Source organism: Homo sapiens, chromosome X, assembly GCF_000001405.40.
Source record: "Homo sapiens chromosome X, GRCh38.p14 Primary Assembly".
NCBI classification, from domain to species: domain Eukaryota; kingdom Metazoa; phylum Chordata; class Mammalia; order Primates; family Hominidae; genus Homo; species Homo sapiens.
This window is the reverse complement of record NC_000023.11, coordinates 101,879,363-101,898,043: the sequence shown is the minus strand read 5'-3', so window position 1 is coordinate 101,898,043 and position 18,681 is coordinate 101,879,363. Positions and strand designations below refer to the sequence as shown.

Genomic DNA, 18,681 nt, shown 5'->3' with positions numbered 1-18,681 from the left:
GGTGCATAGGTATGAAGGAGTGGACAAAAACAAATTTTGTGATCTCTGCAACATGATGTTTAGCTCTCCACTTATTGCTCAGTCTCACTATGTGGGAAAGGTCCATGCTAAAAAACTGAAGCAATTAATGGAGGAACATGATCAGGCATCTCCATCAGGATTTCAACCAGAGATGGGTAAGGTTCCATTCACCTCTTGATCTTCAATGCAGGATCTACCTATCATGTTTTGTCTAACTCTGCCATATCCTTTTTAGTGGGGGAGACTTTCACCCCAGTTGAAATAACTTGATTATTATTCTTCTTCCCAGTTAATCTCTGTGTCTGTCTTTGTCATTTAATATGGAGATTTTAATTGCTAGTTGATTTTTAAGAAATGTTGTGACCTCTCCTTTTCAGTTCACCAAATTCAAACAAAAGCAAGTGATTTGCTATACTGCTATAAAGAAACAACAGTAAGCAGCTGGAGCTTTGTCAGTTTCTTTTTTTTTTTTTTTTTTAGATAGACACTTTGTTCCACCTTTACTCTTTTTTTTATAATGTCTTTTTTTTATTATTATACTTTAAGTTCTAGGGTACATGTGCACATTGTGCAGGTTAGTTACATATGTATACATGTGCCATGCTGGTGCGCTGCACCCACTAACTCGTCATCTAGCATTAGGTATATCTCCCAATACTATCCCTCCCCCCTCCCCCCACCCCACAACAGTCCCCAGAGTGTGATATTCCCCTTCCTGTGTCCATGTGATCTCATTGTTCAATTCCCACCTATGAGTGAGAATATGCGGTGTTTGGTTTTTTGTTCTTGCGATAGTTTACTGACAATGATGATTTCCAATTTCATCCATGTCCTACAAAGGACATGAACTCATCATTTTTTAATCAAATAATAAAATCTTCACTTTTTACTTCTTCCCCTTGGCGTCTTTTTTGCGTTAGTATTTTCCAAAACATTATCTCATATGAGTGTTCAAATCAATGTCTTCACCATAATGTAGTTATGTGTTTCCTACTAACTGTAGGCAAAAAAAAAGTTACTGACTCTCTTTCTATTATGATAGCCTATTTCTTTCTTCCTATAAATAAGAAGTACTACCAGCATCATCAGTTAGTTACTGAGTACTTATTTTATGTTAAATCCTGAAAATACAGGGGGAATTATAAAAACATTGCATCTTTCCTTCTCCTGGTGATGTTGGGTCACCAGCACATATGAGAAAACTGACTCAAAGTTGCCCAAGATGGCAGAGTATACCCTGGAAAACCCAACTTGTATTTTTGTAAATGGATGTGCTAGAACAAGAAAAGATGATTAATCCTCTGTAGTAAATAATTTACCACATTCTTTGTAGCTTCAACACTTTAGGACTAAGGCATGCCTGCCATGGAAAATTCACCAACATCAATTTTGAACTCATAGTATAATTTGAACTCATCAATTTTGAACTCATAGTCACCCAGCAAAGTCAATGCCACAAGATATGTTATTAAAACTTTTATTTTCTTAATAAATGAAGCCAGAATTATTTTTTTAAATTTAGTCTCTAATTTTTATACATTTTTTCTGCCTGTCATTCAAAAGATAGACAGAATCAGTGTGCCCTAAAAGAAAAAACATCTTATAAAAGCTTTATCTTCAGTCCCAAAATTTATCAACTTGGGCTCAGAGAGGAGGATAAATAAAAGAGCTATGAAATACTGGAATTGTAGGAACATGTATAGTTTTATAGTCTTAAACAACTGCATAGATTTTATTCTGATGCAGACATCACAAATGTAGAATGAATAGACGCCTTACTTTGTTACTCAAGAAAGACTTAGAAGTTAATATCATATGTTTTATCCTCACTAATTTTAAAGAATCATAAGATGGCTATCATACTTTCATTGATTTTTATATGAATATAATCAGGCAATGCCTAATACAGAATACTACTTCCTTCTCATATCAAACTTGGTGACAAATTCATATTCACACTTCCATTCTCACAGAAGGAAATTCTTTTTTACTTTAGAAGCTTTATCCAGCAGCTGTCTGTTGAAAAAAAAAGTCCAGGGAGTGGGTTTTTAGAGAATTATAAATTTCCCTAGTAGTTTACAATAAATGCAGTTCTAATATCTGAAAATGTGTTTATCACTTCTTATTACAACTATTTCAGCAGGAGTGCCTCTTACTACTTCTGCAGAGTCAACATTCCTGAAGCCCCTTCCTGTCAAGCCTCCTACAGGTGGGATTAAAGACAAGACTATGCCTTCCTCTCCCAGCAGTGATTTGGGTTTGAATAATCCGAACAAATTTTGCAAGCTCTATCCTGCTTCCTTTAATAGTCCAGTAATGACTCAACAACATTATGTTGGGAAAAAAAAAAACACAAAAGAAATGAAGCCAGGGAGACATTTTTAGACAAAATAAGAGAGAAATCTCTTCCAGCAAAATCAAATGCAAATGGTAAACATAAAATTATCCCAAAACTTTTTCATAGGAAGTTTGTGTTTTATAAAACATACTAGCTTATTTACATACCATTTTACTCTTCTTGAGTGAGAGGTTGATAGTATTCATGGAATCATAGAATTTTATAAGGACTTACAAGTCCATCTAACTTGATCTGTTCATTTCCTAGGAAATGAGAACCTGAATGGTTTAGATGACCCCTCTTAATTTTAGAATCAAACATAGGAATTCTCATGGTTTCATGTTATTTTAGGTAAATAAGGATCCTTAGGTATATACATAAGGAAGCATTTTAAATTAATATCATGTGGTTATATCATTCTTACTAAGTATGTTTTAAGTGTCTCTTTGGTGCTAGGCTAGTCACTCTTGGGAATACAGTTCCCTAAAGGAGCGAGCGTGTAAACTAGTTAGGTTAATAATAATACTTCATTGCAAGAGCCGACAGGCGCATTTTTGTGTACATATTTTTGGTAACTAGATAAGTGAAGCATAATGGTCCAGAAAAATCTTCATATATTTAGATGATTTTCAGTGGATAGAAGTGGGAAGAAGAAAGGATGAACCAAAGGGCTTGGAGCTAAGAGTGGCAAGAATTCAGGCACAGTAAAGAGACTGATCCTGACTGGAGTGATCCACTTGCTCTTCTAACCATATTTTTTTTTCATTTTTCCCCCCACAGGCACCTTCTCACTACTAGTGTATTTTATTCCCCTTTCATATTCTCTCTTCCACCCACTTCTTTTCCTCCACTCACTATTATTTTTCAGTTCTTTCTTTACCCAGCCTTTCTCCTTCATGTGAAAATGTTCATTCTTCTCTCCTCCTTGAAGCTCTATTCTTTGTCATATGTAACTCTTTATGCTCTGGTTCTTCTCTATTTCTGTTTCTTTTTTGTTTTCTCTATGGGCTCTTTTTTTATTCATTACCTAAATGTAGGTATTCCCATGGTTTCATCCTTGACCTTACTCTACAAACACGATTTCTATTTCCCTGATTTCATTTCTCATCTGTATGCTTATGACCTTTCTGTCAAGTATTAGATTCACATATCCAAATGGCAGCTACTGCTTCACCTGGATGCCTCATAGCCATTTCAAATCCACCTAGTCATTCAAAGTAGAAACCCACAGGTAACTATGAACCCCCAAACACCACCTTCTTAACTTCATATATTTAATGAAGCACCAAGCTGTGACTCTTCTACCTCCTGAATACTACTCTCCCCTTATCTCCAGCCCTGCGCTTCCCACATTAGTTCAGGTCCTCAAGATCTTTCCTAGAGGTTTGCTACTCAGTGTGTGGGTTGTGGATCAACACCATTGGCATCACCTGGGAACTTGTTAGAACAAGGACTCTCAGGCCCCACTGCAGACCTACGGAATCAGAATCTGCATTTTAACAAGATCTGTAGGTGATTTGTACTGAATAAGTTTTGAGAAGTGATTGCCACAACCTCCTAACTACTCTTTCTGCCTCCAGTTTTGTTTCCCCAAACCCACCCCCAATTTAACCACTAGAGTGTTTGACTTAAAGTGTAAGTATTTCCATGTCATTCCCCTTCTTTAAAACCCTTCATTATTCCTTCATCTTCTAAATATAAAATCTAAGCTTCATAGCTCTCCACCATCTTGTTTCTGCCTGCCTTCTCCAGGCTTATCCCCTGCTACTTCCTGGCATGATCTATGTGGGTCAGTACCTGCAAACTACATATGGTTGCCAGAAACTATTACCCTGTTTTTTGTGTCTGTGCCCTCGTTCATGCTGCCACTTTGTCTGGAATATCCCTATAACACTTCCCCTGGCTAACTCCCCCTCATTCAATTACTTCAGGGTTAATCTTATGTGCTTCCTTAACCTGCATTTCTAAGTATCTCTGCATGTGTCTGTCTCCAATTAGAATGTAAGGTCTTTGAGGCAAGGGACTTCATCTAATTCATCTATATTTCCAGTGCTATAGATAGAAACTCGCACAGAAATAGGACCACTTCAATAGAGATTAGCTTAATACATGCATCAGATAACTATTAATTATCTTTATTTGTTGAGTGCTTATCCTGTTTTCTACTCTTTCAGGTTTCTACTTAGTGTGATTCAGCATATCCCAGAAAGTTACATAGAGATACGTGTTTTTATCTAGGATTATGAAGAATGTTGATTTAGGCAAGTGTAGAAATACAAGTGCTAGGGCTTCTGAAAGTAGGAGTATATGTTCAGAGAAATGACAACTTTCACTTGTTAAGGTATTTTTCCTGTTGCTAGGTTGAGTGTATCTGAAATAAGGGGCTTCTAATTTTCTAGCATTAGGTAAATTTGAACTGAGTTAACTATGAGAAGTGTGTGCACTCCTGTCACTTCTAAATTGGGGGGCCATTTTGGCACCCTGAAGTTTTAATGTTATTAGAATGATGAAAGAAGGATTTTGGTGAAATTATCATCTGATGGTGGAGGAGAGGGCATGATCATCAGCATAATTTAATCCAGTCATTGGAATCACTTTACATTAGCCTCTGAAGCTAGAGCTCAATAGATTTTTCAACCCTACCTTGGCTCTTTCATTTTGAGAGCAGTAAACATTTGAACATTAAAAAATACCTGGAGAATTTTAACTAGCTAATGACAATTTCAAAGAACAGTAACAGCAGATGCCCTCATTACAAGTGAGTAAGTGGTAATAATTTAACATATGCCACCTTAACTGTTTCACTCATCACCCATTTTCTTCTGTCTGCCTTCCTCTCCATCTGCTATTGTTTATATATGTTTCTCCCATATCTAATCTTTCTCTTTTTCTTCATCATTCTCACTGCTTTCTTCATGTCCCTCATCCAGCTCAGATCTTATTAGCACAGGAATGGCTACCATAACGATATGGAACTAAAGTATGTATGTATTTTTTATTTATTATATTTGTTTTGTTTATCTTACTAATTTTTGGCCCCATTATTGCACTCAGATGCCTCACCTTCACCTATAACTCAACATACCTAAAACGGAATTAATAATCTCTACAGTCAACTTGAATTTCCCAAGTTTTCTGTCTTTGCTAGTAGTTCCAATGTTTATTAGTCACCTACACTTGAATCTTTGAGGCTGTCTTTGACTACTTAATTATCTATATCCTATCCATTAGCAAATCTTATCAAATCTTAGAACTATTTCTCCTTTCTGTAGCCATTCATTACATTTCTACTACCATCACCTCACACCTTAATGCTGTAACAACCTTCTGGAAAGCTTACTTGTACCTCATTGTTATTCTCTCACTCCCTAGTAGCAGGATTTCAACCCTGGATCAGTTCCACCCTATACATTTTCTACTTCTGCATAAAGCCTACTGAGTGATGCTGTGGAAAATTATAAACTATAGAGATTGGGTATGTTTTCAGAGTCTTGGTACCTAACCTCTTTGGACCTTTAGTCCTACTTAATCTGTTTCCTTTTCCTTCACTTTCCCCTTAGCGACAATTTTAAACCTATATCATTCTTCAAGACTCTCTTCCCCCGCTACACTCCTTCTCTTCACACTTCTCAGACAAGCTCCTTTGTGATTTCATCAAGAAAAATTTGGCCATCAGATGTGGATTACTACCAAGTATCTTGGTTTAACTAAATCCTCCTGTAACCCTGAGTTCTCCTTTAACTCCTACATTCTCCCCTTCCCTTCTTAACCAAGTTATTTTTAAAATGTAGTACACTCTTACTGTCTCCACTTATTATTTACTCAACTCACTGCCGTTCTTTGGTGCTTATTCCCTCAGCCTTCACACCACCAGTCTACCACCTCACTGTAACTACTACTCACAGTGGCAAAGTGACTTCTAAATTTGTAAGTCCAATGAACATCTTTATTTAGCTCCTTTGACATCACTCTCTCCTGTTCATTCTTATAATTTGCTGTCCTTTGCTTTGGTGGACTTTTCATAGGCTCATCTTTCTCTACCATCTTTCTTTAAAGAATGGCATTCTCCAGGGTTTTATCAGTATGTTGCTATTCCTGTGCCCACCCATACATTATCTTCAGGAGATTTCATCCACTCTGATTATTTTGACTATCCACCCCCGTGTTCTGACATCTCCAAAATCTCTCTGACCTATCTTCTGCCTTTCATACTCCTGTATATAACTGCCTGTTGGACACCTTTACATGAAAGTTTTGTAGCTATCTTAGACCCTGTGTTCAAACTTACACTATTCACCATTGCCTACTCTCCCACCCATTAAAACAACACATACATCTGAAGTTCCAATTTCAGTTAATGGGATCACCACCCAACCACTTACCAAATTAGGTTTCTGGGAATTATTTTAGACTTCTCTAGATTCTTTCCTCTCCCCAATCCGTCACAGTCATTCTGTCGCTAACTTTTGCCAGTTTTAAAGTTAAATGTTACACCAATCTCCCTGCTTCTTTCTACCCCTACTGAGACCCATCTAGTCCATGTCCTCATTATGTCTTGCTTGATCTCCTTACTTCTAGGCTTACTCTTCTTTAATTAATCCTTTGTATTGCAGCCACAGAAGAGACTCATCTAAAACACACAATTGACCAACCACGTCACTTAATACATAAACCACTTCAAGGTTTCCCAAAGCACAGAATAAAAAATTTAGGCTCCTTAGCATAACATATAAGTCTTTCTTTGATCTGACCCATTTTGCCTCTTCCCATCTCTTTCTCTTATGTTTTACTCTACAACAATTCCAAATTTTAAGAAGTTCCTGTAAGCACGTCTATGCTTTTTTCATGAATTTTTGTACCTAAAACACTCTTCTCAACTCTTTTCAGGTTAACTATTCATCATCCCTCCAAGTTTAGCTAAGACATTATCTCTTCCAGTAGCCTTTTTCAGACCCCCGTATTATGCTGAGTGCCCCTGCTTCTTTGTGCTCGCATACCTCTTAAACATACCTCTCTTACTTTTACCAAGTGAGACTGAAATTTTTTGTTCATGTATCTTTCTCACACTGGATTTGTGAACAACTTGGCTGTTTCATTCATCTTGTATCCCTGGCATCTAACCTGATGCTTGGTGCCACATAGGTATTCAGTATTTGTTAAACCAATTATTTGGATTCAACACATTGTGCTGATTTCTGTCTCTGCCATACTTGATATTATTTTCATCCCCTGGAATGCCCTTACCTGCTTTCTTACAAATTCAAATCTTTTCTGTCCTCAAAGATCCATCACAACTTCTCTTACTGTTCTAGTTCTTTGTGTTCTCCCTTTCTCTGATTTCTCATAGGCTTTACTGTTCATTGACAATTGATACAATTATAGCCCCTCAAGGGAATTAGCTTCTCTGAGACAAAGGATTATATTTTATTCTGCAGTATCCTTCTTAGTGCTTTATATGGTAATGAGGGCATAATTTTTTCTCAATTCATATTTGCAAATTGTTTATTGAGAGTCAGTGTTGTATAGAGGGATAAACATAGATTTGGAGATACAGTCACTTGCCAAGTTGCACCGCAGATTCCTCTGGTATAAAATGAAAATAATGTGACTCTACAGGATTGAATAATAATTAACTGAAGTAGTATATATAGTACCCATCACAGAATAGGTTTGTAACAAATGTTAGGTTTGTAAAAATGTTTTGTCCTGTCATAATTTTAAAATAGGTAAATTGGACATTTTCTGTTTTTCTTTATAACATAAATCCGATATTCACATGCAGTTTTTTTCCAACTTTTATTTTAAGTTCATGGGTGCATGTGCAGATGTGAAGGTTCGTTATATAAGTAAATGTGTGCCATGGTGGTTTTGCTGCACAGATCATCCCATCACCTAGGTATTAAGCCCAGCGTTCATTAGCAATTCTTCCTGACAGCTGCAGTTTTGATTATGTGCAGCTCTCAATTGGCTTTTCCCCGTTTAAGATGTTAGACCAGTGGTTCTCAGCCTTGACTAATTAGAATCATGTGAGGAGCTTTTAGAACTCCCATTGCTCAGGCCAACCCTCCAATCAATTAAATTACCATCTCTGGGACTTACACATTTGTGTTTTGTTTTCTCTTTTTTGACTCCCTAAGTGATTTTTATATGGAGCCAAGATTGAAAACAGTGTTAGACACACACTTTCCCAATTTATGCTTTGAAAACAAAGACCTTAGTTCAGAGACTTATGAGATAGGGTTATGATTAGGGGAAGAGTAGGCCCCACAAGTTTCAGGGTAGTGAAGATTCTGAAGGGTACAAGCGATAAAGGAGCCTGAGTTTCTGGGTGAACTCAGAAACAAGGAATCCTAGAAGGGCTGAGAGCAGAACAGAACCTCGGAATAGTCTCTGAAATAAAAGAGTGGAGAGTATAAGAAACAGAATGGAGGCAGGCCCCAGGAGGATTCAATCAGGAATTCTGACCTTGGGGCCATAAATAGGTTTCATATCTTCACAGAAAGGGTTTACACAACTTTTGTATATCATTTTCTGAGATGTCTGAATCCTAGAAAAAGATAAAGAACATCAGTATGTGAAAAAGCCAAGGGCTAAGGTAATGGTAATCAGACTACAGTTCTAGAAATGCCTCTGGATCTTTAATACATGACTGGCAGCTCTTCTAAACCTCTATGTTACCTCTATTAGAATATTATTTCTGATGTAGTTTGTGGAGAAACAAAGCAGGAATGGAGGAGAACACTGTATACAGTATACTTTATAAGCACTAAATAAATATGTAAAAACTCTGAAATATAATCTGAGTTTATAGTCATAATGAAGATTATTAGCTCAATAATCTAGGGTAGAGGTGTCCAATCTTTCGGCTTCCATGGGCCACGTTGGAAGAAGAATTACCTTGGGCCACACATAAAATACACTAACACTAACAATAACTGATGAGTTAAAAAAAATCACATAAAAATCTCATAATGTTTTAAGAACATTTGTGAATTTGTGTTGAGTCACATTCAAAGACACCTTGGGCCACATGTGGCCTGTGGGCTGCAAGTTGGACAAGCTTGATCTAGGGCAAGTGCTCAACAGTGGCTGCACAGTTAAATCGTGTGTAAAGCTTTCAAAAAGTAAGGGTGCCTAATTCCACTCCTAGAGATTCTGATTTAATTGGTCTGACATGGAGTTGTAACATCAATATTTTTGAATTTTTCCATATGATTCTAATGTGTAACCAGCATTGAGAACCACTAATCCAGAGGAAACCAGGACTCCTGCTTATCTTGCACAACTTGGGTACCCTCAAAATATATGGTATTGGCAAAGTTAATCTGAGCCTAAGTTCCAGCACCTGTAAAAGATGGTACGAATTTCCTAAAAGAGGTTGTTGTGAATATGTACTCTCCTGGGTTTAGTCCTTAGCTTTGCAAGAAGTCCAAAATCTTCAAGATGATCAGCCTCAAATCAGGGACTCACTAACCGCAAACAAACTTGAAAGTGGCTGATAACTAACTGGAAAGATATTACTTTAATATGTTTCTCACAAAGCCTGTGATAATCATTTGCCATATTTGTGATCATAGAAATTTCTTGTCCCTGCCCTAGAAACATTGAATCATGTTCTCCAGGGGAGAGCCTGGGAATCTATATTTTTAACTGACACCCCAGTTGATTTTTATCAAAGAAGTCTGGGAAACATTGTACTTTAAGTTATTGTATTGTCATTCTGGTATTGATTTATGGTAAGAGGAGATACATATTTCCATTTCCTAGTTTTTCTTGATGTCTGTCATCCAGGGTATCCTTTTCTTGGTATCAAAGAATATGAAAAACCAATTATAATCAGAAAGTGACTTAGTATGCATGAAATTAGAGCATAGAAAAGGATAGTTTTGAGGGAACATTTCATTCATATTTTGACATAACCTGCTGAGTTTTCCTGGGCCCGCAATAGCCAGTAGTGTGCAGCCTCATTTTCTTCAGAGTCAGCATCTTTCTTTCCCCTTGCAAGCAGTCTCCTGTTTCTATGAATAGTCTTTGCTCAGACAAGGCCAATATACTTGGTAATAATTAATTTAGCTTCTTTGAAATGATTAGGTCACTTTTTGGTTTAAAAGATTACCATGGTTGTCCCCAAAATCTTTGCATGTACCAATTTATTTCCTCCTCCCTAGGGTCAGAATGATTTTATATTTGGCTTATGAAATGTATTAATTTGCTTCTTCTGGTCAAAGATAAAGTGGAAGGATGATGAGATTTTTAAAAAATTAATGTATCCCTTGCTTCTAATTCTACCTACAAAGTGGAATAGTGTGCTAGTTACTATATAGTTCCCAGTGTATAGCTTTTGACTCTTTTGAAGTGGTAACTAGTAGTTTTGTTTTAGAATTTTGCTTTCAGCTTTTATCCTGAGAGTGGGGCTCACTGAACCTCTCTCCTTTCTAAAATCTGTGGAAATTACTTTTGGTAACTAAGGCACTGCAGTGATCTCAGGTAAGAGAGTAAAAAATTTGCCTTTATTTGTTTTTAATGTTTTGGGACGTTTCAGGTTTTGGTTGGGTGGAAACAGAGTTGGGGCAAACAAAAAGAGGCTGGTTAAGAGATTCAGAGGCAAAGGTTGGTTGGCCATGCTAAATTTCAGGTGCCTGTTGCACCTCCATGTAGCAACAGTAAGTAGACAGATAGCAGATTCTTAGGGAAGAAGTTAAGCTAGAGAAGCAGTGTGGTGTGGTGTAAAGAATTCTGGGCATTCAATTAAGAGGTGTGGGCTCTGAGAGGCTAACACTACTACTAACTTGCTCTGTGACTTTGACCAAGTCATTTGACCTCTCTGGGCCCCATCTTTATTGGAAAATGTCAAGTAGATGGTCTCTAATAAATTTTTGGTCCAGTTCTAACATTATGTGATTCTAAATGTATTTATACTGACCTTCTTAACTTGAACTCTTTGTTTTTTCAGCATTTAGTATGAGAACCTATGTTTGCCATATTTGTAGTATTGCTTTTACATCTTTAGATATGTTCCGGTCCCACATGCAAGGAAGTGAACATCAAATTAAGTAAGTATTTTTGCCAAAATTTTCCTATGATACCAAAGACCAGAGCTTCTAGTCAAGCACTCTTTGATGTATTTTACAAACTTCTTAGGCATTCATGTCCCTATGGGTTTAACCTGGGTATGGTTGGCAATATTTGTAACATATTGCATACTAGTGTCCCTCAGGGGTTCTAGTTTTAGTTCTAGTAATGATAGTGTACTGGCAAACCTGGCTAACTGGCACCCCTCCTGACTAGAGAGCAGTGTTCTTTGGAGAGATGCTAAAGGATCACTCTCACACTAACCATACAAATGCAGAGAATTTCTGGAAGGTTTGCTTGGTTCCAGGGATTCAGTGACCCAGTCACCATTTTTCCAGTGATGTATAGTGGTTAAGAACAGAGGTCTTGCTATTAGATGGACCTGGATTAGAATACCAGATCCATTTTTCTACCAAGTGTATAACTTTGGTCAGTTCTTACATAAGATTGTTATGATGAAATATAATATGTGTAAGGTGCCTGCCCTGGCACATAGTAGGAGTTCAATAAATATTTAGTCCATTTTATTCTGTTATTTCAAGGAGAGGAGAATTGAATGGACAGTTGGAGATTGGTTAGTTCAGGTAGCAAAGGGTATTTGACTATTTATCTTTGTATTGATGCTTTTAAAGTCAAGACATAGAGCCAGGCCTGGTGGCTTATGCCTGTAATCCCAGCACTGTGGGAGGAAGAGCCAAGGAGTTTGAGGTCAAGCCTGGGCAACGTAGTGAGACCTTATCTCTACCTGAGAAAAAAGAAAAATTAGCCAGGTTTAGTGGCATGTACCCATGGTCACAGCTACTTGGGTAGCTAAGGTAGGAGGATCACTTGAGTCCAGGGTGTTGAGGCTGCAGTGAACCATGATCACACCACTGCACTCTAACCTGGGCAACAGAGTGAGACCCTGTCTCAAGAAAATAAATAAAATAAAATGAATAAAATAAAATCAAGACATATTCTTTCTGTTACATTGTTTTATTCTAGTAGAAAATATTTATATTATTTGTATCCGAATACTTAGAAGCTAAATTGTCTGACTTACCCAATTAACCTACATTTACATTCCTTTTTTTCAGAGATGGGTTCTTGCTCTCTGGCCCAGGGTGGAGTCCAGTGGCTATTCACAGGTTCCGTCATAGTGCAGTACAGCCTCTAACTCCTGGGCTCAAGAGATCCTCCTGCTTCAGCCTCAGTAGCTGGGAATACAGGCACACACACCACACCTGGCTAGATTTATAATTTAGATTTTTAAAAATCTCAAGATTACAGAATAAACACATATCACATTTATAAGATGTATATAAGGAACTAATGAAAACTTTAAAAATGATATGACATTCAAATCAGAGCATCTGTCAGGACATTAAATATTATTAGTCCCCACCCATACATTCCAACATGCCTTAACATTTTTAGTGCTACAACAACATCAGATATATCTGCTACTTTATACCCGTCTTCCCTTTCATCCCGGGCCAAAGGAAATTTCCTTTTCTTTTTTGCATAAAAATTGTGAGGTGCCTAGGAGATATATCATTTTCCATGCTCCTTTTTGGGGGGCATAGAAAGTCATGATTTATGGCTTTATAATGAGGTAGGTTCTCACTGTCCAATGTGCTTTTTTGACATAAAAATTCACAATTTATAGCTTTTATAATAAAGTAGGTTTTTAAAATCTGTTTGGGTTTTTAAATTTGTTGTTTTTGTTTTTTCAGACTAATACTTTTAAGAACAAATAAAATATTTAGAATAAAATAATCTAATAACAATTTTCTACTGTCTTCTTTACAGAGAATCCATTGTTATCAATCTAGTGAAGAATTCAAGGAAGACACAAGACTCTTACCAAAATGAGTGTGCAGATTACATCAATGTGCAGAAAGCCAGAGGACTAGAGGCCAAGACTTGTTTCAGAAAGATGGAAGAGAGTTCTTTGGAAACCCGTAGATACAGAGAAGTGGTCGATTCCAGACCCAGACATAGAATGTTTGAACAAAGACTCCCATTTGAGACTTTCCGGACATACGCAGCACCATACAATATTTCACAAGCAATGGAAAAGCAGTTACCTCATTCAAAGAAGACATATGACTCTTTCCAAGATGAACTTGAAGATTACATCAAAGTACAGAAAGCCAGAGGACTAGATCCAAAGACTTGTTTCAGAAAGATGAGAGAGAACTCTGTGGATACTCATGGGTACAGAGAAATGGTTGATTCTGGACCCAGATCAAGAATGTGTGAGCAAAGATTTTCACATGAGGCTTCCCAGACCTACCAACGACCATACCATATTTCACCAGTGGAAAGCCAGTTACCTCAGTGGCTACCAACCCATTCAAAGAGGACATATGATTCTTTCCAAGATGAACTTGAAGATTACATAAAAGTGCAGAAAGCCAGAGGACTAGAGCCAAAAACTTGTTTCAGAAAGATAGGAGATAGCTCTGTAGAAACACACAGGAACAGAGAAATGGTTGATGTCAGACCCAGACATAGAATGTTGGAGCAAAAGCTCCCATGTGAGACTTTCCAGACCTATTCAGGACCATATAGTATTTCACAAGTAGTGGAAAACCAGTTACCTCATTGCTTACCAGCTCATGATAGCAAACAGAGACTAGATTCTATTAGCTACTGTCAACTCACCAGAGACTGTTTCCCAGAAAAACCAGTACCCTTGAGCCTTAATCAGCAAGAAAATAACTCTGGCTCATACAGTGTAGAATCTGAAGTTTACAAGCACCTCTCTTCAGAAAACAATACTGCTGACCATCAAGCAGGTCATAAACGGAAACATCAGAAGAGAAAACGACACCTAGAAGAAGGCAAAGAAAGGCCAGAGAAAGAGCAGTCCAAGCATAAAAGGAAAAAGAGTTATGAAGATACAGATTTAGACAAAGACAAGAGCATCAGACAAAGGAAAAGAGAGGAGGATAGAGTCAAGGTCAGTTCAGGAAAGCTTAAGCATCGAAAAAAGAAAAAAAGCCATGATGTACCCTCCGAGAAAGAAGAACGTAAGCACAGGAAAGAGAAAAAGAAATCTGTTGAAGAAAGGACAGAAGAGGAAATGCTTTGGGATGAGTCTATTCTTGGATTTTGAATGTTTAGTTTTGTTTACCCAAGGTTGAATTGAAAAAAAAAAACAGTCAATATGGATTTAGAAAAAGGAACACCTGATGAAGAAAAGGAGAGGTAGATACAGTCAGTGTCACTTCAGGACACTTAGGTTTTTTTTGTATAAAAATTTAAATTGAATTAAAAGAAGGAAAAAAAAAGCCCAAACTTAACCTCTGAGAAAAGAACATAAGAACTCAAGGAGAACATAAGAGAAAAGGAAACCTGTTACAGAAAAGACAAGAATCTGTGTTTTGGAATGAGTCTATTCTTGGGTATTGAACTTTTAGTTTTGTTTGCCCAAGGATTAATTGAGGAAATCAGCTAAGAAAATGGACTTTAGACAAAAGCAAGAGGATCAGATGAAGAAAAGGAGAGGTAGATACAGTCAGTGTCACTTCAGGAAAGCTATTTAAAAAAACTTGAAATTTAATTGAAAGAAGAAACAACAACAAAAAAGCCTAAACCTAGCCTCTGAACAACACTAACATGAGAACACAAGAACTTAAGAGAAAAAGAAACCTACTCAAGAAAAGACAGAAGAGACAGTGATTTGGGATGAGTCTACTCTAGGATTTTCAACTTTTTAGTTTTGTTCCTTCAAAGTTGAAGGAAAAAAAGTTTGGTTTTATAAAATTCATGTTATTGTAATTTTTCTAGGTGGATGGCTACTTTAATCTCTAAAAAAGCCAAGTGAAGTAAAAGTATTCAGTATGCCTTTTCCTCAAGTTACTTTCCTTCATTTTCTTAAAAAAGAAAAAAAATTATTAAATGTTTCTCACATATCTCACATATAATGTAATTTCCCTAAATGAAGTTGTCTCTACTTCTGCTCATCAAATTGCTGTGATAGTGAATTATTTATTCATGGGAGATAATTTATTTTAAAGGACAGAATTACCAAGCGTTACAAAATCAGTTCTTTCCTTGGTTTTGTGTTAGTGTTGGTGGTATTTTATTGTTGTTTTTCTGTGTTTATGTGTCTCAGCTTTCTCCAAGGAATATGTATGAAATAACTTAAACTGATTTTTTCTTTGTTAAATCTAATTTGCAGTGTATTTTTGCATTTTCTAGTTCTGAAAGTGGAAAATGAAACAGTCTATAATAAACTTAGATGATATATAGTTTTAAAACGGTCTCAAAAAGTACTGATATAAGGTCAGTCTATATTCTGGAAATGTTTATATTAAAGTGTTTTAATTTCTACATATTGTTTTATGTAAATGATCATTTCCCATCCAAAATTATTATTTTGGGAGTTGGAGGGGCAATAATTAAACAGTTGGCACTTAATACCTCTGAGGAGATCACACTATGAAGTTGTAATAATTTTATATTTTCTATATCTTATCTCACAGAGGCTGATACTGAGTCTCAAACTCAGTTTAAGGTTAGGAAAATATGACCAATTAAATGGTTGAAACCGAAGAAGGAAGAATTGGTAAGTGGTAGAGGACCAGAGGGTGTTACCTTTGAATTGTTTGATTTTGACAAATTTTTTACGCTGGTGCTCCCTTTATTTATGAGCAGTACCACTAAGTATTTGAGGATCACAATGGGATAGTAGACAGTGTAATAATGGCCTGTGAATCTAAATTCCAGGATTCTGGTCTCAGTTGCACCATCAAGTTGCTCTGTGACCTTGTGAGAATACCATTAGAATCCAACTTGGAATCACTAGGAATATGAAAAGTAGGCTTTGTGTTCTCTTCATGTGTTAATCCTATCAAAAAACAAATGTATGCTCCACACAGTGGCTCATGCCTGTAATCCCAGCACTTTGGGTGGCTGGGGCAGGAGAATCACTTGAGTCCATGAGTTCAAGAACTGCCTGGGCAACATAGTGAGATCCTGTCTCTATTTTTTAAAGATAACAAAATAAATTTAGATGGTGACATATCTACATTTAGGCAAAGCATTTAATAGGTGACATGTCTGCATTTGGGCAAGGCATTTAATAGCTGTTCTTTGCAATTTAAATAAAATAGTAAATGTAAGCTGAAGCATAATATGATTGATTGGGTTTATACCTAGTTGAGTAAATAGTCCTAAATGGAATTAGATGCTTCCCAAATCCACTTTTCTTCCATGAGACTGTTGTTGTAAGATTATTTTATGCTACAATATCATCCCCCATTTTAAATACATTTGGTGTATTGGTGAAAGGAGAGGGGAAAGAAGAACTAGAGTAGAATACATAGACTGCGAATCACCAAGCACAAATTGGTCAGTTATCTTTTTTGAGCACACCAAGAACTGCAGCACCTTTTCACAAAGTGCAAGATAAGATCAATTGAATTGCCAGCATCTGTTAAATTGACGAATTCTTTCATAGAAGCTTGTATTTAAAGTTGGAGAGGACTCAAAACTATATATTATAAAAATATTCCCTAAGATACAAAATTACTCTCATCTTTTAAAAATAGATACAATGATTCATAAAAATTATCCACCCATATTTAATCTATAGTGGATAAGTCATGCAAACTTTAAAAACCAAAACCATTTAAATTGGTGATGTGTTGAGTAGACCAAAAAGGATGTAGTATTGATTACGGTCTTGGGACATGCACCAGTGACTTGCTCTAGAAAAGTGGTTTTCAAAAATTTTAAGACAATTTTTTGCCAAAAATAAATTTTACGTTAACCTCACCATAAAACAAATTTTACATTAACCTAAATACATAATGTTCTGGTTGAAGGTGGGGAAAGGGTCTGGAGCCCAACTTTGGCACATTTGTTATGCTCCCAACTTCTGCCTCTGAGCATTTAGAGGTAAGAGTATATGTAAGTCAAGATGTTTATGTGTAGGATCCCAAATTATCTCCACTTCTGGAATTAAGTGTTGAACTCACTAAGATGAAATTTAATGATATAAATAGTAAATCCTACATTTGGGTATTTCAATACAAAAACATATTTGAGGAAGCATAATTTAAGATATTATATGTGAAAACAGTGTTGAGGATTTTATTACGTGCTTGGTTTGAAAGACTAATATGCTCACCCAGACATGAAAATCACATATGGTCTAAGTCAAATATATAAGAGAATATTTGGAATAAGTTAAAAGTATCTAACTTCAGAGATAAATCCTGAACTGGGTAGAAGATACAGGGAGGCAAGTACTGGGCAAATCTGGAAAATAGTTTTCAAAAACTGGAGCTGTAGAAAAATAGAATTTACTGTCTTGTGTGCATGCATTGAACAAATAAGAGCTGACTGTCAGCATTGTGCCAGGAAGGAACCTGAAAAAAGAATGAACACACATTGTTTTTCAAAAAGCTCACAGTCCAACAGAGGAAATGGACCAATAAATAGACAGTTACAAAATAAGTTTTATAAAGGCTTCAATCAAAGTGATGAAGGACGCTGTGGGTAGCAAAGGTAGTGAGCTTAATGGGATGGGAAGAGGGCATTCAGAAAAGGCTTCCCGAAGGACATCTAAGCAGACCATTTTCTCTCAGTTCAAAGATTTATTTATTTGATATATATACATGGTTATCTAATAGGCGCTGCAAACTTAATATAGCCAAATAGAATGCTGCCTTCTGTCATTACCAATTGTTCATCTAGTTTCCCTTATTTCTGTAAAACCATCTAATTGCCTAAGCCAAAAACCATTTTTGAGCATCTCTTCTCTCCTACATTAGACCATAAGCAATTCCCCTTGATTATATCACCAAAATGTTTCTCTTAATGTTCAGTTCTCTTCATCTTTACTGTCATCACCCTACTCTGAGATATCATTATTTCTTGACCAAACTGGGAAAATAGGTTTGAGAGCAATTGAAACATTGGAAGAAGTGATCACAGGTTCTGAATTACAGATAAGAAAACTGCACAGAATCATCAAGAGATCAGAGAGAGCTGTGGTGAACTTGTCCCTTAAGGATTTCACAACTATCCACCATATGTTTTCTTCCAGAAGAAAAAATTCCACATACAGAAAGAAAACTGCTTATTTCAGAAATCAAATTGAACAGGGAAGAGAGATTGTGGGTAAGGGAAAAGGAAAGTTCAGATAGTAGCAGATGGAGGAAGAATCCAGAGAAATCAAATCCCAGAAAGTATGATAGCAAAATAAACATCAAAAGGTGAGTGTAACACCTTGAGAGACAAGACCAATAGGA

At 36.5% G+C, this 18,681-nt stretch overlaps 1 protein-coding gene across 12 annotated transcripts in view; it reads left to right on the top strand.

The window, feature by feature from the left end:
- ZMAT1 (zinc finger matrin-type 1) overlaps positions 1 to 15,754 on the top strand; it is a 49,738-nt gene extending 33,984 nt beyond the window's left edge. For 2 of the 12 annotated variants that reach the window (XM_005262213.5, XM_017029903.2), the window contains exons 4-7: positions 2 to 176; positions 2,165 to 2,230; positions 11,313 to 11,412; positions 13,223 to 15,754. In XM_005262213.5, coding sequence (XP_005262270.2) covers positions 2 to 176; positions 2,165 to 2,230; positions 11,313 to 11,412; positions 13,223 to 14,534 — 1,653 coding nt within the window. In that variant the 3' untranslated portion in view covers positions 14,535 to 15,754. The other 10 variants (XM_005262212.5, XM_005262216.5, NM_001394560.1 and 7 more) reach the window with 8 other exon arrangements.